Here is a 16,187-nt window from a genome sequence, read left to right as displayed (position 1 = left end):
TCCTCCTGTGTGACCCCCGCCTGTCCGCGTCTCCTCCTGTGTGACCCCCGCCTCAACCCTGGGCTGCTTGTCTGACCATGACGTTCGCTAGATCTCCTGGACTCCGGCCTCAGCGCCGGATGCACAGAGATGACCTCCTTCCACTCCCTGGCTTGTATTTTTACTTAGTTATGTTGTCTTTTTTCAAACACAGTTTTTAAAATGTAATGTGGTCAAATGCGTCTCTCTTTACTTTGATAGCTTGTGACTTTAGTGACTTAAGAAACCCTTTCCTACCCTGAGGTCATCAATATTATGCCTGTTTTCCTTCTAAATGTTTTCAGGTTTAGCTTTTCACATCTGAGTTGTTTAATCTACCTGGTGTTTTATTTTTGTTTAGAGCGTGACACAGGCACCTAATTTTCCCCATGTAGAGAAGCCCCGGCCCAGCACACTCAGGGGACAGCCCAGCACACTCAGGGGACAGCCCAGCCCAGCACACTCAGGGGACAGCCCAGCCCAGCACACTCAGGGAACAGCCCGGCCCAGCACCCTCAGAGAACAACCCTCCTTCCTTGTAGATGTGGAGCACCCACCCACCTCAAAGCATCATCGTAAGCACATGGGCTGTTCCAGGCATCCACTTGCCTATCCCGGCACCAATGCCACGCTGTCTTAGAGGCAGGCGTCCCACATGATTCTTCTCTGAAACTCACTTAGCTCTGCTTGGCTCTCTGGCCTTCCACGTGGACCTTTGGACCAGCCGGCCAAATCCCACGAAAAACTCAGCTGGGATTGAGAAAGGCTGTTTGCGGAGAATCGACCTCGTTTTTCACTTTTTAAAATTAATCTCATTTTTCAAAACTTACACTTTTCATTCATGAACGTGGCATACGTCTCCATCAGTCAAGTCTTCTTTTATGCCCTTTGCAATGTTATAGTGGCCTGGACACCTTCCATCTGACGTTTTCTACATAGGTATCTTCGTAGGTTTTGAGGCTGCTGTTAATGAAGTATTTTTCTATTATATTTCAGCTTGGTTTCTACTGGTGTAAACATACGCTATTGTTTTTTCCCTCATCAACCTTGTCTCCAACATTACTGAACCCTCTCATTAGTTCAAATAATAGAGTCAAAAATTCTCTTGGTTTTTACATCTTCATGTTTCTTTCTTTGTTTGTTTGTTTGTTTTTGTTTGTTTTTGAGACAGAGTCTTGCTCTGTCACCCAGGCTGGAATGCAATGGTGTGATCTCGGCTCACTGTAACCTCCGCCTCCCAGGTTCAAGCCATTCTCCTGCCTCAGCCTCCCGAGTACCTGGGATTACAGGTGCCCACCACCACCACCTCCCGGGTAATTTTAGTATTTTTAGTAGAGATGGGGTTTCACCATGTTGGCCTGGCTGGTCTTGAACTCCCAACCACAGGTGATCTGCCTGCCTCAGCCTCCCAAAATGCTGGGAATACAGGCGTGAGCCACCGTGCCCAGCCAGTTGGCTTTTACATCTTGATAATCACATTATATGAAATAAAGGCCAGGTACAATGGCTTACACCTGTAATCCCAGCACTTTGGGAGGTCAAGGCAGGCAGATCACTTGAGCCCAGGAGTTCAAGGCCAGTCTGGGCAACATAGCAAAACCCTGTCTCTACAAAAAATAAATTAAAATGAAACAAATCAGGACAGTTTTGTTTCCCAATGCTGGTCTTCATTTCTTCTTGCTCTTGTCTCACGGACTTGGTGAAGCCTCCAGCACCCCCATAGAGGGAAGGCACAGCCATCGCCAACATCTCCCATGTCCGCTGGCTTCTGTGGGAGTGATTCTCAAGTCCCAGCAAGCGGAGGGGTTCGATGTGTGCTGTAGTTTCTGGGCAGATGTTCCTAAACAGGTTAAGACGGCTTCCTTCTAGTCTGGGCTTGCTCTTTTTATAATAGCGAGTTGAGACACGCTGTTGACTCCCATCAGACACCTGTCTGCACCTAAGATCCTTCCGTTTTTAAATCCTCCACACGTCTCTGGCACCCTCTCCTGCCTGGTGGTGGTACAGCAGCCCCAGGGACTCGGTGTCTGAGCAGAGCCAGAACCTCTCAGGGGACTGGGACATGGACAAGACCCTCGGTCTCCCGTCCCCACACCGTGACCACGGAGGCAATAGCTGCTCCCACAGCCTAGGCCCTGGAGTGAGCGGATGTAGTGGAGGGCACCAGCCACGCAGCCACAAACGGAGCATGAACCAGACAGAACCCTGCTGCCGTGAACCACCAAGACTCGGGGCCAGGTGCAGTGGCTCACCCCTATAATCCCAGCATTTTGGGAGGCCGAGGCGGGCAGATCACCTGGGGTCAGGAGTTCGAGACCAGCCTGGCCAACATGGTGAAATCTCATCTCTACTAAAAATACAAAATCAGCTGGGTGTGGTGGTGGGCGCCTGTAATCCCAGCTACTCAGGAGGCTGAGACAGGAGAACCGCTTGAACCCGGGAGGCGGAGGTTGCAGTGAGCCGATATCACACCACTGCACTCTAGCCTGGGTGACAGAGCGAGAATCTGTCTCCAAAAACAGAAAAAGAAAAAGGGTCTTTGCAGATGTGATTAGATTGAGGACCTCACGAGATCAGCCTGGATTATCAGGTGGGCCCTAAATCCAAAGACCAATGTCCTTAGAAGAGACGCAAAGGGAGAAACGCCCAGGAGAAGCCCCGTGGAGACGGAGGCAGGGCATGGGCGATGCAGCCGCAAGCCAAGGAACGCCCAGAGCCACCTGCAGCTGGAAGGGCCAAAAGCATCTTCCCCGGAGCCTGAGCGGCCTTGTGGCACCGCCACGCCTGCACCTCAGACTCCGGCCTCCGGGACTGTGGGAGACAGCTTTCCTGTGGCTTTCGGCCCCCGGTTTGTGGTCATTTGCTGGTGCCGCCCGGAGCACCCGACAGCCAGGCGCATGGCCTGTTTCAGCCCACGGAACAACAGCAAGTCTCACCTGGGCGGAAGGGAGGAGTGCGCGCTGGGGCCTTCCGTCTGCTCCCAGAAACAGGGAGGCCGCCGTGGGAACAGAACAGCCAGCTTCTTCCAGAGAATGCGAGAACTTGACCCCAACCCGTGCAGCTACTCCGAGGGGGTGGCCGGCTGCCCACCTGGCTGGCGGGCTCCCTATCTCCTCTGCTGTAGGCTTAGCCCACTGTGGTGAGCCCGGGGAAACAGGTAGCCCCTGGCCCGAGTCACCCCTAGGGAGACCCAGGAGGACCCAGCTGGGGGCATGAGTTATGCGAGGAAGAGGAGGGCGCTGGGGATAAAGTCGGGGGCTGCACCGTGACTGGACGGGGTTGGGGGGAGCCCCTGCGTCTCCCTGCCCCTCCGTTGGCACCAACCCTGCCTCCACCTGAAGGGGCAGCTCCCTCCCCACCCTCAACACCTGCACTGGAGTTCTGGACACAGAGAACCCAAAAGGAAGATCCTGAGTGGGCAGAAGGGGCGGGGCCTGTCCTAGGAAAGGGGTGGGGCCTGCTCTGGGGAAGGGGCGGGGCCTCCTCTAGGGAAGGGGTGGGGCCTGCTCTGGGGAAGGGGCGGGGCCTCCTCTAGGGAAGGGGTGGGGCCTGCTCTGGGGAAGGGGTGGGGCCTCCTCTAGGGAAGGGGTGGGGCCTGCTCTGGGGAAGGGGCGGGGCCTCCTCTAGGGAAGGGGTGGGGCCTGCTCTGGGGAAGGGGCGGGGCCTCCTCTAGGGAAGGGGTGGGGCCTGCTCTGGGGAAGGGGCGGGGCCTCCTCTAGGGAAGGGGTGGGGCCTGCTCTGGGAAGGGGCAGGGCTGTCTGGGGAAGGACTGGGGTCAGGGCTCATGCTCTCCTGGAGCTTCCCGGGTAGCCTCTGCTTTAAAGGGCACAGCAGGGAAGAGCAGGCAGGGGCCTAGCCGTACCCGTGTCCACGCTGCATCACCAGGGGAAGCCCCTCTTCGCAGCTGCAAGCTGGGAGACAGATGAGGAAACTGGAGGGAGCCTGACCACCTCTTCCTTACCAGGTCTCTGGCCGCAGTGCCCCCACCCCGCCCTGCCCATTTCCTGGCCTGTGCAGGGACTGCTGGGCCCAAGGGTCACAGCCAGGCAGAGATGTGATAGGTTTTGGGGGTGGGCCAGAAACAGGCCACCCTCGAAATGACCCAAGGATGGCTCTGGGGTCCATGCTGACAGCTTCATGGAAGGGCCAGTTCTGAAGCACCCAGAATCCCCACGTGGCTATGCCAGAGGCTCTAGGGTGGCCTCAGGGGCTCCATGGCAGGCCCAGGCCAACTGACTGCCCAGGAGGTCCCTAGGCCTAGACAGTGTGGGCTCCTGGGGCCACCAGAGGGGATGAGCAGGTCCTTTGGGGGGCTGTCCTGGGCCAAGTGGGGCAGTTGAAAGACCCCAGGCCTGAGCGGGTTCCAGGACCCAGGGTGGCGCTGATGAGCTGGGATGTCCCAACTGGCTTCAGACCCCAGGGTTGCTGCTCAACCGCGGCCCTCCCTGGGGTCAGATGGGGGAGAGGGCAGCTAGGGGAGGGCAGCTAGGGGAGGGCAGTGGCCTCAGCCCCCTGCCAGGAGCCAAGATCAGTGGCTCATGCTTGTAATCCTGGTACTTTGGGTGGCTGAGGTGGGAGGATCACTTGAACCCAGGAAGGAGTTTGAGACCAGCCTGGGCAACATAGTGAGACCCTGTCTCTGCAAAACAAACAAAACTATGCAAAAATCACGTGCCTGTTACTTTAGTAAAACAAAGGATTGTTTTGAAAGATAAGAACAAAAAGCAAAAAGCTCTTAAAAATTAGCCAATCATGGTGCCACATGCCTGTACAACTATTTGGGAGGCAGGACAGCAGGAGGTGGGACCTGTTGCACCCTGAGGACCCGTCACGCCCAGGGGACCCATCACACCTGAGGATCCGTCATGCCCTGAGGACCTGTCACACCCTGAGGACCCGTTGTGCCCTGGCTTTGGAAGTGTGGAGCCCAGCCCAGGTGTCTGCCCTCCTGAGGGTTTCGTCACATGTAAGGGGTGTGGCACAGCCTTGTAGTCTGGAGACAAATGTCCTCCCCTTTGACCTCAGAGGATGCTCGAGGTTGGATCACTGTGCTTAGAGGCCTCGGCCTCCCCACACACACCTGCTGCCTTTGACAGGAGACACCAGGCACCTGCTCTGGGCCAAGCAGCCTCCATGGGCTCCACCCAGAAGTCAGGGGCTCAGCTCTCCAACATGAGTGGGCACTGTGCCCAGGGTCCACAGCCAGTGCCCCTTGTCCAGCTGGGTCCGCAGAGCCAACCAGAACTTCTGCAGGTTTGAAGGTATTGGCGGCTCTGACTGGCAGCTCCCCAAAGCCCTGACGGGGCCACCAGGTCCTGGCCACCTTTTGTCACTAGGCAGCAGGAGCTGACAGTGACCTGAGGACTAAGACCTTCTCCATTTTCCCAGTGTAGAGACCCAGGACAAGGCGCATCTCACATACACATGGCACATGCAGACACATGTGCACACAAGCAAATGCTAGCACGCTCATGCACACACACACGTGCACACACATCACATACACACGGCACATGCAGACACGTGTGCACACAAGCAAATGCTCACACGCTCATGCACACACACACGTGCACACACACATCACATACATGGCACATGCAGACACGTGTGCACACAAGCAAATGCTCACACGCACATGCATGCACACACGTGCACACACATCACATACACATGGCACATGCAGACACGTGTGCAAAGCAAATTCTCACACGTGCATGCACGCACACACGCACACACACACACACCACCTCCCCAGGGCCACCCGACCCCCGGGGCTATGCACTCACACACACACACACACACACCCTCTGCCCAGGGCCACCTGACCCTCGGGGCTACACACACACACAGACACCCTCCCCAGGGCCACCTGACCCTTGGGGCTACACACACACACACACACACACATCACCTCCCCAGGGTCACCTGACCCTCGGGGCTACACACACACACACACGCACACACTCTCCCCAGTACCACCTGACCCTCGGGGCTACACACACACACACACACACACACACACACACACACACACCCTCCCCAGGGCCACCTGACCCTCGGGGCTACACAAAGGCCCCACCAACCGTGGAAAGCCTGTGAGATGGCTGTGAAGGAACCCAGGGCTCTTTTCACAGATTCAGGGCCGGGGGATTCCTACAAGGGAATCTGACCACATTTCGACAGCCCCGTGGGGGTTTTGCCCAGGGTGAGAATGGGGAGCGGAGGGCAGGCAGCCCCCACGTCCCCTCTGCATTTGGTACAAGGGATTTGCCAACCGCGTGGCGTGTGTGTGGTGCCCCCGTGTCCTGCACGCAGAGCCTGGTGGCCTCCGCCATGCACAGTGGCCAAGCCGCACCCCTGCAGCACCAACCTAAACCACACAGTACAGCATGTCCCCCTGAGTTTATTATTGGAAAGCAAGGACTGAACAAAGACTCAGACAATAAATATCTGAAGAGAGGAAGCCGAGCTTAGGAGGCTCAGAGGGTCCGGGGGAGGTAAAGCTGTCGAGGGCAGTGAAGGGGGCTGTGCCCACCCCGCTCACCCGCTCCCCAGATGCCTAGGGGAGCGCCGGGCCCGGCGGGAGGTGCCGGTGGGGAGCCCGCAGACGGTGTCCTGGCACTGGCAGCTCTCGATGTGGGTGTAGGTGTGTGTCAGCGAGCCGCCATTGGGGCAGCTCAGGACCACCTCACGCTGGCTGGTTTTCTCCTCTTTGCAGCAGGAGCAGCTGTGGTCCAGGGCCTGGGCCTTGGCCGAGTACCTGGGGGGAGGGCGGAGTGAGGGGTGACCTTCCGGGGCCAGCGCTGGCCTCTCGCCTCCCTGGGGTCTCCACCACCCCCTCCAGGCACACTCCCAGCCTGGGACTCACATGACAAATGTCCCGCAGGACCCGGAGCAATGATTCATGAGGACGGTCTTGGTGCAGCCGGCGTACGAAACCTCCGTGGTGACGGGGACGGTGGAGCAGGGCACCCTGGTCTCATTGCGAGGGGTGCCTGGGGAGAGCGGGCAGCGGCTTAGGGCAGGGCCTCCACATCTTCGAGGAGGCTCTCCCTCGCTGCGTCCCCTCCCCAGGCTCGGCCTCAGCCCCCAGCCCTCACTGCCCACCCAGAGGCCGTTGTCCAGCCTCCAGCCACCCCAGGCGGGGCTGAGGGCACCAGCCCTTGTGCCCCCACCCTGCCTACCCCCCAGGCTGTGCCCTGTACTCACAGGTCTTGCAGCATCCATTGGGCATGAATGTGATGGAGCCCTAGAGGGAAAGGAGAATGAGCCCGGGACCCCCGGACATTCCTGGGGATGAGAGCACCTTCCCACGATGCCGTGGGCGGGGGTAGCTGCTGCAGAAAGCCCCAGGCAAAGCCTCCTGCGGCAGCTCAGACCAGGCCCGAGGTCACTGTCGCAGCACTGGGGCCCCAGCCCCCCAGAACACCAGGCACCCCCACTCCCGGCAGAGTACACACAGCCAGGCCCCAGGTGGCCAACTCACCGGGATGCAAATGCTGGCATCAAAGTTGGGGCAGGTGATGTTGGAGACGGACGAGATGAGCTGGTTGTGGATCTTCACGCAGCTGAAGAATGTGCAGTTGTTCTTCGGGTCGCTCTTGAAGTCCCCGGGCTGTGGGGCAGGGAGCTCTGGTGAGGGAGGGCAGCAGGCCCAGCCCCAGCCCGGCCAGGAAGACACCCTGGAGACACCTGGCCGGGGAGGCTTCCTGGTGAGGCCCAGGGCCACAGGACAAGTGACATGGGCGGGGCCCCACATCAGGCACCAGCCTGGAGCCCACACAACCCTCAAAGGTCTGTCTGTGTTCTAACTCTGAATCTATGAATGTGACCTGCCTTGGAAAGGGGGTCTTTGAAGGTGTCATTAAGTGAAGGATCCTAAGATGAGATCATCCTGCTTGGGGTGCCTAAATCCTTAAAAGGGAGAGGAGAGGCAGACACAGGGAAGGAAACCTCGTGGTCACAGCCAAGGGGCACCTAGAGTGACCAGAGGCTGGGAAAGGTCCTTGCCTAGCGCCTCCGAGGGAGCACAGCCCTGAGGCCCTTTGCTCTATGGATTTCTGGGCCGCAGAACCAGGAGAATCCCTTTCTGCCCTGAAGACGCCTGCTCATTTGTCATGGCAGCCCCAGGGCGCCCATCACAGCTGCGCCCAGGACTGGGAGGACTCAGCTGGGGGATCCTGGGTGGCCCGCGCCTTGCCCTGGGCTCAAGCAACCCGGCCGCGTCGGGGCCGGCAGTGCACACCTACCTTCAGGATGACGTGCTGGTTGTCGGGCCGTTTGATGATACAGTGCGTCTGTTCACACTTCTTACAGCACTCCCCGGGGGCCTCCATGAGTTCGAAGCCCTGCGCACATAGACACGCCACTGCAACTGAACTCCCAGGCTGTACCCCACACCACACAAAGCCTGCAGGGCTGCCGAGACCCCCCCACCTGGAGGAGGCCCCAGGCTGGGCAGGTGTCAGGATGGAGAGGTGGGGACAGGGACAGGTTGGCGTTGAAAGGAGGAAAGAAAGGGTCACGATGCAGACATGGGCCCGGGTGCTTGTCTGGGAGGAGGGAAAAGGGCAGGCTGAAGGAGGAGGGTGGCCGCTTACAGGGCTGCAGGAGGTGTTGCAGGGCACGTGGGTGCAGGCGATGACGTTGAGCAGGGTGTTGTTGTCCACCTTGTCCGTGCACACGCAGTCCTGGCACTTGGAGGAATAAACTGGAGAACCGGGCTTCGGGCACAGGGAGAGACATGAGGCAGGGGCCTCTCCAGCATCCCAGCCAGCCCAACAGCCTGCCAGGACCCCCACGCTGCAGCCGACCTCCTCCCCTCCTCCCTCTCACCCAGCCCAGGGCTCACCTGGTACTCAGCATTCCCGTGAACACACACCCCCTTGGACTCTTGGGAGAAAGAACGGAGAAGGCCGTTCGTTGGAGACTGCCCCGGGGCGGCCACCTGGCCAGACCCCCACTCCCGGTGCACACCCAGTGGATGGAGCGAGCGCTCAGGGCTGGGGTGGGTGCATCAGCCAAGCGTACAGCCATCTGTGTCCCCAGAATCTGAGACCCCCAGGAGGGAGCCAACCCCCTTACAGCCACCCCACCCCGGGCGGCAGCCTCCTCCCTGCCCTGCCCACCAGCCCTGCTTACCACACCAGTAGAAAGGACAGCACCTTCCAGGCACCATCTTGCTCTTCACTTCGAATCCCAGCGGGCACACGGAGGGCTTCTCTTTGCACAGGCTGGTGTTGCACTCTGAAGACAGGGTGTGCACGCGGCCGTGAGGGTGGCTCCTCCCAGGCCAAGCCCCCGGGGCCACTGCACAGGCTGGTGTTGCACTCTGAAGACAGGGTGCGCACGCGGCCGTGAGGGTGGCTCCTCCCAGGCAAAGCCCCCGGGGCCACTGCACAGGGTCGGGCCTCCAGCACCTCCAAGGGTCCCCTCCCCACCCAGGTCAGGCCCTGCAGCAGGGATGCCTGGACTGGGCCCAGCGGCCCCCTCCCAAGCCCTCTCAAGGGGCACAGCAGAGGCCCCCAAGCCAGCTGTTTCCTCACTTGCCAAGGAGGGGACAGCAGGCAGCCCAGCCTACAGGGATGTGTGCACCCCTGAGAGGTGGCATGGGCCCCAGGGGATGGCCTTACTGCAGACGGTAATGTTGCAGCAGGTGTCGGCAGGGTTGACCTCCGTGGCGAGGTAGGTGCCGTCTTCCACGCAGTGGGTAACGGGCTTCTGGCTGCACCTCTTGGGTTGGCAGATGATGCCACTTCCACCCTCCAGGCAGACACAGTTCTTGCAGTCGAACTCGAAGTGCTCCCCAAACTGCAGGGAAAGAAGGGTGAGTAGAGAGGACAGGTGGCACCAGGCAGGCCCCACCTCACCACAGCCCCGGAGCTGCAGCTGTGGTCAGCGGGGAGAAACAGCCACCCTGAGCAGAGTGCTGAGGGATCCTGGGGGAAAACCATGTCCCTCCTCACTTCTGAGCACACCAGGCAGGTTCTGGGATAGGACAGTAGCTGCTCATTCACTGATATCACAAAGCCATTACCTGCTCACCAGCATCGACAAGCAGGGGCTTGGCACGTGGCAAATTCTCCACTCAGGCCTCTCAGGTTTGTACAGAATTTAGCTAAGGAATCATCCACATGGCTGCTACCACAGGTAGGAGGCATGGGCAGCACAGAGGTGGCCAAGATGTCATGTCAGAGCTTCTAGACAGAGTATCATATGACCAATGGGTGGTGAATGGAGGGAGGGAGAATGGATGGATAAATGGGTGGATGGTGGGTGGATGGTGGATGGATGGATGGATGGTTGGGTGGATGCGTGGATGGATGGGAGGGTGGATGGTAGATGGATGGTGGATGGATGGATGGATGGATGGATGGTGGATGGTTGGGTGGATGGATGGGTGGGTGGATGGGTGGATAGGTGGGTGGGTGGATGGTAGACAGATGGTGGGTGGATGGATGGATGGATGGATGGATGGATGGATGGATGGATGGGTGGATGGATAGGTGGGTGGGTGGATGGTAGACAGATGGTGGATGGATGGATGGATGAGTGGGTGGGTGGATGGTAGACAGATGGTGGATGGATGGATGGATAGGTGGGTGGGTGGATGGTAGATGGATGATGGGTGGATGGATGGATGGTGGATGGTTGGGTGGATGGTGGATGGTAGATGGATGGTGGATGGATGGGTGGATGGTTGGGTAGGTGGATGGTGGATGGATGGATGGATGAGTGGGTGGGTGGGGGGGTGCATAGATGAGTGGGTGATGACTAGGTAGGTGGAAGGATGGAGGGGTAGGTGAGTGGGTAGATGGGTGCACAGGTGGATGAGTGGGTGGGTGGAAGGATGGGTGGGTGAGTGGGTGGTGTCCATGCCAACTCAGCCATCCAGGACTTAGATGACCTCATTCCTCAATCTTTGAGGCTCCAGGTTTTCATGTCCATCCCTCACTCCCCAGAATTCAGAATTTGTGGAAGGATCCCCCAGCAACACGGTGGGGCCTACCTCTCTGGGCACATTGTCAGGTCCCACACAGCCTAGGAAGAGGGAAGAAACAAGTTGTGTTAGCAGAGTCCTTGTGCAGCAGGGAGCAGGGGTGGGGGTGGTCAGCCTCCTGGTCCCAGCCTCCATGGACACCCAGGAGACAAGTTGTGTTAGCAGAGTCCTTGTGCAACAGGGATCAGAGGTGGGGGGTGGTCAGCGTCCTGGTCCCAGCCTCCGTGGACACCCAGGAGGAGGCAGGAGGGAGGCAGGAGGGGACAGTGTGAGTGGGTGGCGTACCGCAGGTCTTCACGCAGACATCAAAGCCAGGAGCGTAGTTCATGGTGCCCTCAGGACAGAAGCAGCCTTCCACCAGGACTGTGTTGTTCTGCTGGGAGGAGCTGGGGGCGGGAGGGCATTGTCAGACAGGTGGGGTGGGGCTGGGGAGCTGGCAGGTGGGACTGCTATGCCCAGATGATGCCACCCTCCGCACTGCAGAAGGCGAGCCCACGGTCCTGGTGGACCCTCAAACAACATACCTGGATTTGCACGTGGGCTCTTCTGCAGGGCCACAGGCCTGGTACTCCCTGTGAGATGGGCACTCCACCACTGAGGGACATGGGCAGAGGTCAGAGGGCTGCCTCATGTCAGGCGGAGGAGCCTGGACCCCCTTGAGTGACAGCTGCCCAGTGCCCCACACACGGAGGAGGGTGACCAGCTGCCTGGGCATCAACCTCCACCCTCGAGGTTGTCCCGAGCTGGGTGGTGGGCACCCAGTTGCATTTAGCGATGCTGGCAGAAGCCCCAGCACCTCAGCCCCTCCAGCCTGGCCTTCCCCACCCCATGGCCCCAGCCCTGGTCTCACACCCGCCATCTCTGCGTCCCTGGCCGCAGCCCATCTAGGTCTAGCTTCAGGCTGGGCACAGCACCTGGCAGAGCCTAGAGACCACGTCTGGCCTGCAGGCCCCCAGCTCCAGGGCAGGGGCAGATGGGCACTTACAGCAGGCCCCATGCGTGTGGTTCCGCCAGTCGAGGCAGATGTTCTGCTGGGCACAGAGGGCTGCGTAGGCCTGCAGACTGGCGCACTCCAGGCTCGAGCCCGGCATGAAGCAGCTGTCGAACACGCAGGCATCGTAGTAGTGCTGCGGGGGCACCAGTGCGTGGCACTGGGCAAACAGGCTGCGCAGGGAGAGGCACAGGTCACACTCAGGTGGCACCTGCCTCTCCCCTGCTCTCTACCCCAGCGTCTCTGCCCGGACTGTCCTCCTGGAGTCCGGCACCCGCCAGAGAGGCGCCTGTGGCTGATGGAGGGTCAAGGGACAGGCCAGCCAGGGGGACAGCTCAGGGACAGACCAAGGGATGGCCGAGCAAGGTGGCTCTGCAGCCCGGCTCCCAGAGATAGAAACCACGTCTATGTGGTCATCAGCTTCAGGACCCCCTCCAGCAACCCTGGCAGATGGACACCCAGCCTATACCTGGCCCCTATACTTCCAGGGACAGGATGCTGACCCCCCATGACTGCCAGCGTTAGGAGCACCCCCTCTCTGTCAAAGCCCAAATCTGCCCTCCCAATATCAGCCCTGAGCTCTGTCCTGGGTTGACTGGTTTACTCCGGGCCTCACACTCGGCCAGCCCTGCACCTTCCCGGGAGCCAGGAGAGACTGGAGTTCAGCAAAGGCACAGGCCGCACGTAGCAGCTCAGCCCCGTGGAACCCAAGGGCCTGGGTCCTGGACCCCACGGCGACCTAGCGCCTGATCCTGGTTCCGCGGCTCCGTGCCTTCCCAGCCCCAGCGCCAGGCCCCACGCGCTGCCTCCTTCCTCTTTGCAAGAGCTGGGGGCTGGGGCACAGAGGCCCTCAGCTTATTGGTGTCGTGGCCACAGGCAGGCCTGGGCGGGGTCACCTGTCCTTGATGAGCTGGCAGAGGGGAGATGGGGTGCAGTCCTTGTGTGGGGTCGTTTTACCGCCCCCGGGCACAGTGACGGCCGGGCGCTTGGTCGTGGAGCTGCTGTGGGGGCAGTGTGGCTTGGAGGGGTCGTTCACCAGCCACTGGTCAGCCGCAGCCTCACAGTTGGAGACGATCTCCCCGCTGGGCAGAATGCAGTCGTCGGAGGTGGTGTTGGTGCAGGTGCCTGTATCAGTGAGAGAGGCCACGTTGCAGACAGGGTAAGCCCTGCCCTTCTCCAGCCCAGATGCCCAGGACCGGCCAGCCAGGGCCGAGGGCAGAGACCAGGCCAGGCCCCCTCCTGTTGGCTCCTCACAGAGACTGAACCCGGGTGATGGCCACAGCAGCCCCGAGCAGCGGGGCAAGAGGCCCACAGCCAGGCCCATGGGTGTTTACACGCAGCCTCAGCCTCAGCCTGGCCTGGCCACCCGCCCTGGGGCAGGACATGGGGGCACAGGGGACGGTGGGAGCCGTGGGGGCCTCGGGGGCCATGGGGGTCACGGAACTCACCACACTGGCCCTTGGTGTTGTTGCCAAACCGGTGGTAGGGCAGCCTGACGGAGAAGGACAGGCCATTGTAGGAGACGAGGACACCCAGCTCGGGGATGTCCACCACGTAGTTGATGCCAGACTGGTACACCTCCAGCCCGTACTTCTTGTAGGGCAGTGCCACCGCCTGCCTGTTCACCTGCACCTGTGGCCGACACACCATGGGAGCTGCAGCTGCCTCGGTCCTCTCCTTGTGAGAGCTCCAGGGCTGCCCCACCCCGCCTGCTCTCTGACCTACACATGTAGGGAGAGGGCCCTGCCTACCCCGCTTTCCTGCCCCCTTTCTTGCTTCCACTCCACTGCTCCCAACCAGACCCTGGTCCCATGGGTGAGCCAGTGAAGGAGCTCTCCTGGGAGCACCTGGGGACTGTGGAGCCCGGCGCAGGCTCCCGGGGCCTCCTGAGCCTCAGAACCAATGATTCCCCTGCAAGTAGGGGCATCTCAGCCAAGGGTGTGCAGAGCCCTGTCCCTGACTCTGTCCTCAGGAGGCAGCTTCTGCTGCAGAGACTGTGCCCAGCGTGGCATGGTGCCAGGGCTCGAGGGGCCCAGGACACACCTGGAGGGCCTGCAGGAAGAGCTGATATGTCCCGGAGCCAGTCGCCCACCCCATCCTACCTTCTAGCCCAACTCTAGGAGAGGCTATGCCTTGGCACCCCCACAGCCCAGTCCTCTGGCCCCTGGGGAACCAGGGTGCATTGGGGCCCATGTCAGCACCCGCCTCCATGCCAGCCTCCTGTGGCCACGCTGTGCCTACCTGCACCTGCATGGGCATCATATGCACGGTCTTGATCAGCACCTCCTGGGTCTCGTGGCGCACGATGAGGGTGCGGGGGCAGGACACCTTGTCGTTGGGATCGCAGTGGTAGTTGTCGATGTAAACTCCGAAGTTGTCCACGGAGGGGCTGATCTCCTCCACCAGCACGTAGGTGCAGTTGCCCTGGTAGCTGTAGTAGAGTCCGTCGAAGGTGACATAGTGCGGGTCGCCCCAGCCCGTGCAGTAGCCTGCAAGGGAGCCGGAGTGAGCCGTGCCACCTGTGCCCCTCGGCCGGGGTCGGGTGCAAGGGCTGGGCTGGGGCATAGTCAGGAAGAGCCAGCAGGAAGCTGGGGCCTGAAAACCCCACTCCTGTGCGTGGGCACGGGGATGTCTGAGCTGCACTTGCCCTGGCGCACCCACAGTGGCCCATTCTGCAGGACGGACCAGGGTTCAAACTTCAACTCAGCCCCCTCTTGCCTCAGAAGCACCCTTGTTCCAGGGAGGAGCCCTAACTCCACCAGGCAAGCCCTCCACCTGCCCAGGCCCTCCCCACCCAATGAGGCAAAAGCAGGGCTGTGAGAAGACCCTCAGAAGTCACCCAGCCTCAGCGAACACCTCAGTGGGATCTGTGCCCAAGGAGCCTCAGCCCTTCCGCCCCCGGGAGACGGGCCCTGCAGCCCCCACCCACGGAGAGGGCAGGAGATGCGGGGAGGGCCTGGGGGCCCCGGACTCACAGTCGCACTCCCAGTGCCAGCAGCAGCCGTCGGGGTCCTCGACGCGCACGGGTTGGAGGCCGTTGGAGCAGGTGGGCATGGGCGGCGGCTCACACTCCACCTTCACGATCTCCACCGTGTTGTTGTACTTGCACGTGGCCATGAAGCAGTCGCACAGCCACCAAGTCTCGTTCTCCTGGGGACGGGAGGCAAGGGACGTCAGGGGGACCGGCACAGGATGGGGTGGTCTGCGCTCAGGAGGGGCGGGTGCTGAGCCGGGAGGCTGGAGGCCGAAGTGGCTTCCACGGACCTCACTGCAGCCAGCCACCTCGCCAGGCACAGCGGGGCACGGTGAAAATGTGGAGGGCTCGGCAGACCCTGCACCCAAGGGTTGCTGGAGGCCTCGGCCCTCAGACGACCAGCAGGAAGTGGTGCCTGGGGCCTCAGCTGCCCGGACATGCTGCGCAGAGTGCCATGGGGACAAAGCCGCCTGCAGCCCACTGACCTGTCTGGGAGGATCAAAGTCTGGGCACTCGGGGGGCTTGGTGCCGGGCGTCGGCTTGGAGGGCGTGGACGATGGCTTGGAAGGCGTGGGCGTCGACTTGGAGGGCGTGGGTGTTGGGGAGGGCGTGGATGGGCAGGACCAGTTATAGAACTCCAACGTACAGCTCAGTGAGCAGTTGACGAAATAACAGGTGTCTCCGTATGTGCCGTTGTACACCTCCTCACCTGCGAAGGGAGACAGACCCACGATCACACCGTCCAGAGGCAGGGCTAGCCGGAGGCAGGGCTAGCCGCTGGACCCCGTGGAGGTCCCCACAGCGGAGGTCCCCACAGAGGCCACCCAAGGGAAGCCGTGCCCTGGACACAGCCACCCTCGACGGCTGCTGCCTCCTGAGACGCTTCTACTGCGATCTCAGCCCTGGCACCTGACCCATTGGTACATGCCGGGGCCAGCCTCGGCCACCCAAGCACAGGATGTGAACAGCCTGAGTACCTGGTGCGTAGTAGGTGTCGTTCAGGACACAGCAGATAAGCACAGAGGAAGGGTAGGGCCTCAGGCCTGTGGTCCTGATGATGCTGGGTGTGGAGAGTGGGGTCGGCGTGGGGGTCCAGGCACTGGTGGTGGTCGTCTGCACAGTGCTGGGGGTGGGGGCTGAAGATGACCCAGTCGTGGTACCGCGAGTGGGGGTGCCTGTGAGAGCAGGAGACACCAGTGAGGGCT

At 60.8% G+C, this 16,187-nt stretch overlaps 1 protein-coding gene across 1 annotated transcript in view, besides 2 other annotated features; it reads right to left on the bottom strand.

Annotated features, from left to right (window-relative positions):
* Window positions 2,408-2,937: an enhancer, noted in NCBI's record as "H3K27ac-H3K4me1 hESC enhancer chr11:1107885-1108414 (GRCh37/hg19 assembly coordinates)". NCBI's record gives its function as "activates a minimal SCP1, AML or CMV promoter by ChIP-STARR-seq in naive H9 embryonic stem cells {active_cell/tissue: H9 hESC(naive)}" and the evidence as "EXISTENCE:reporter gene assay evidence [ECO:0000049][PMID:30033119]".
* Window positions 2,938-3,468: an enhancer, noted in NCBI's record as "H3K27ac-H3K4me1 hESC enhancer chr11:1107354-1107884 (GRCh37/hg19 assembly coordinates)". NCBI's record gives its function as "activates a minimal SCP1, AML or CMV promoter by ChIP-STARR-seq in naive H9 embryonic stem cells {active_cell/tissue: H9 hESC(naive)}" and the evidence as "EXISTENCE:reporter gene assay evidence [ECO:0000049][PMID:30033119]".
* The window catches only part of MUC2 (mucin 2, oligomeric mucus/gel-forming), a 35,635-nt gene continuing 25,853 nt past the window's right edge, over window positions 6,406-16,187 (bottom strand). Inside the window, 19 exon segments of the mRNA NM_002457.5 lie at window positions 6,406-6,778; window positions 6,887-7,013; window positions 7,228-7,267; window positions 7,505-7,633; window positions 8,268-8,366; window positions 8,619-8,741; window positions 8,870-8,910; window positions 9,160-9,264; window positions 9,651-9,828; window positions 11,027-11,058; window positions 11,303-11,403; window positions 11,542-11,611; window positions 12,003-12,181; window positions 12,905-13,133; window positions 13,457-13,640; window positions 14,250-14,497; window positions 14,984-15,158; window positions 15,468-15,691; window positions 15,960-16,157. Coding sequence (NP_002448.5) covers window positions 6,559-6,778; window positions 6,887-7,013; window positions 7,228-7,267; window positions 7,505-7,633; window positions 8,268-8,366; window positions 8,619-8,741; window positions 8,870-8,910; window positions 9,160-9,264; window positions 9,651-9,828; window positions 11,027-11,058; window positions 11,303-11,403; window positions 11,542-11,611; window positions 12,003-12,181; window positions 12,905-13,133; window positions 13,457-13,640; window positions 14,250-14,497; window positions 14,984-15,158; window positions 15,468-15,691; window positions 15,960-16,157 — 2,702 coding nt within the window. The 3' untranslated portion in view covers window positions 6,406-6,558.

The sequence above is a fragment of the Homo sapiens genome, chromosome 11 (genome assembly GCF_000001405.40).
Source record: "Homo sapiens chromosome 11, GRCh38.p14 Primary Assembly".
Taxonomy (NCBI): Eukaryota; Metazoa; Chordata; class Mammalia; order Primates; family Hominidae; genus Homo; species Homo sapiens.
Note: the sequence above shows the minus strand (reverse complement) of the source record. Positions and strands in the feature narration are given on the sequence as shown.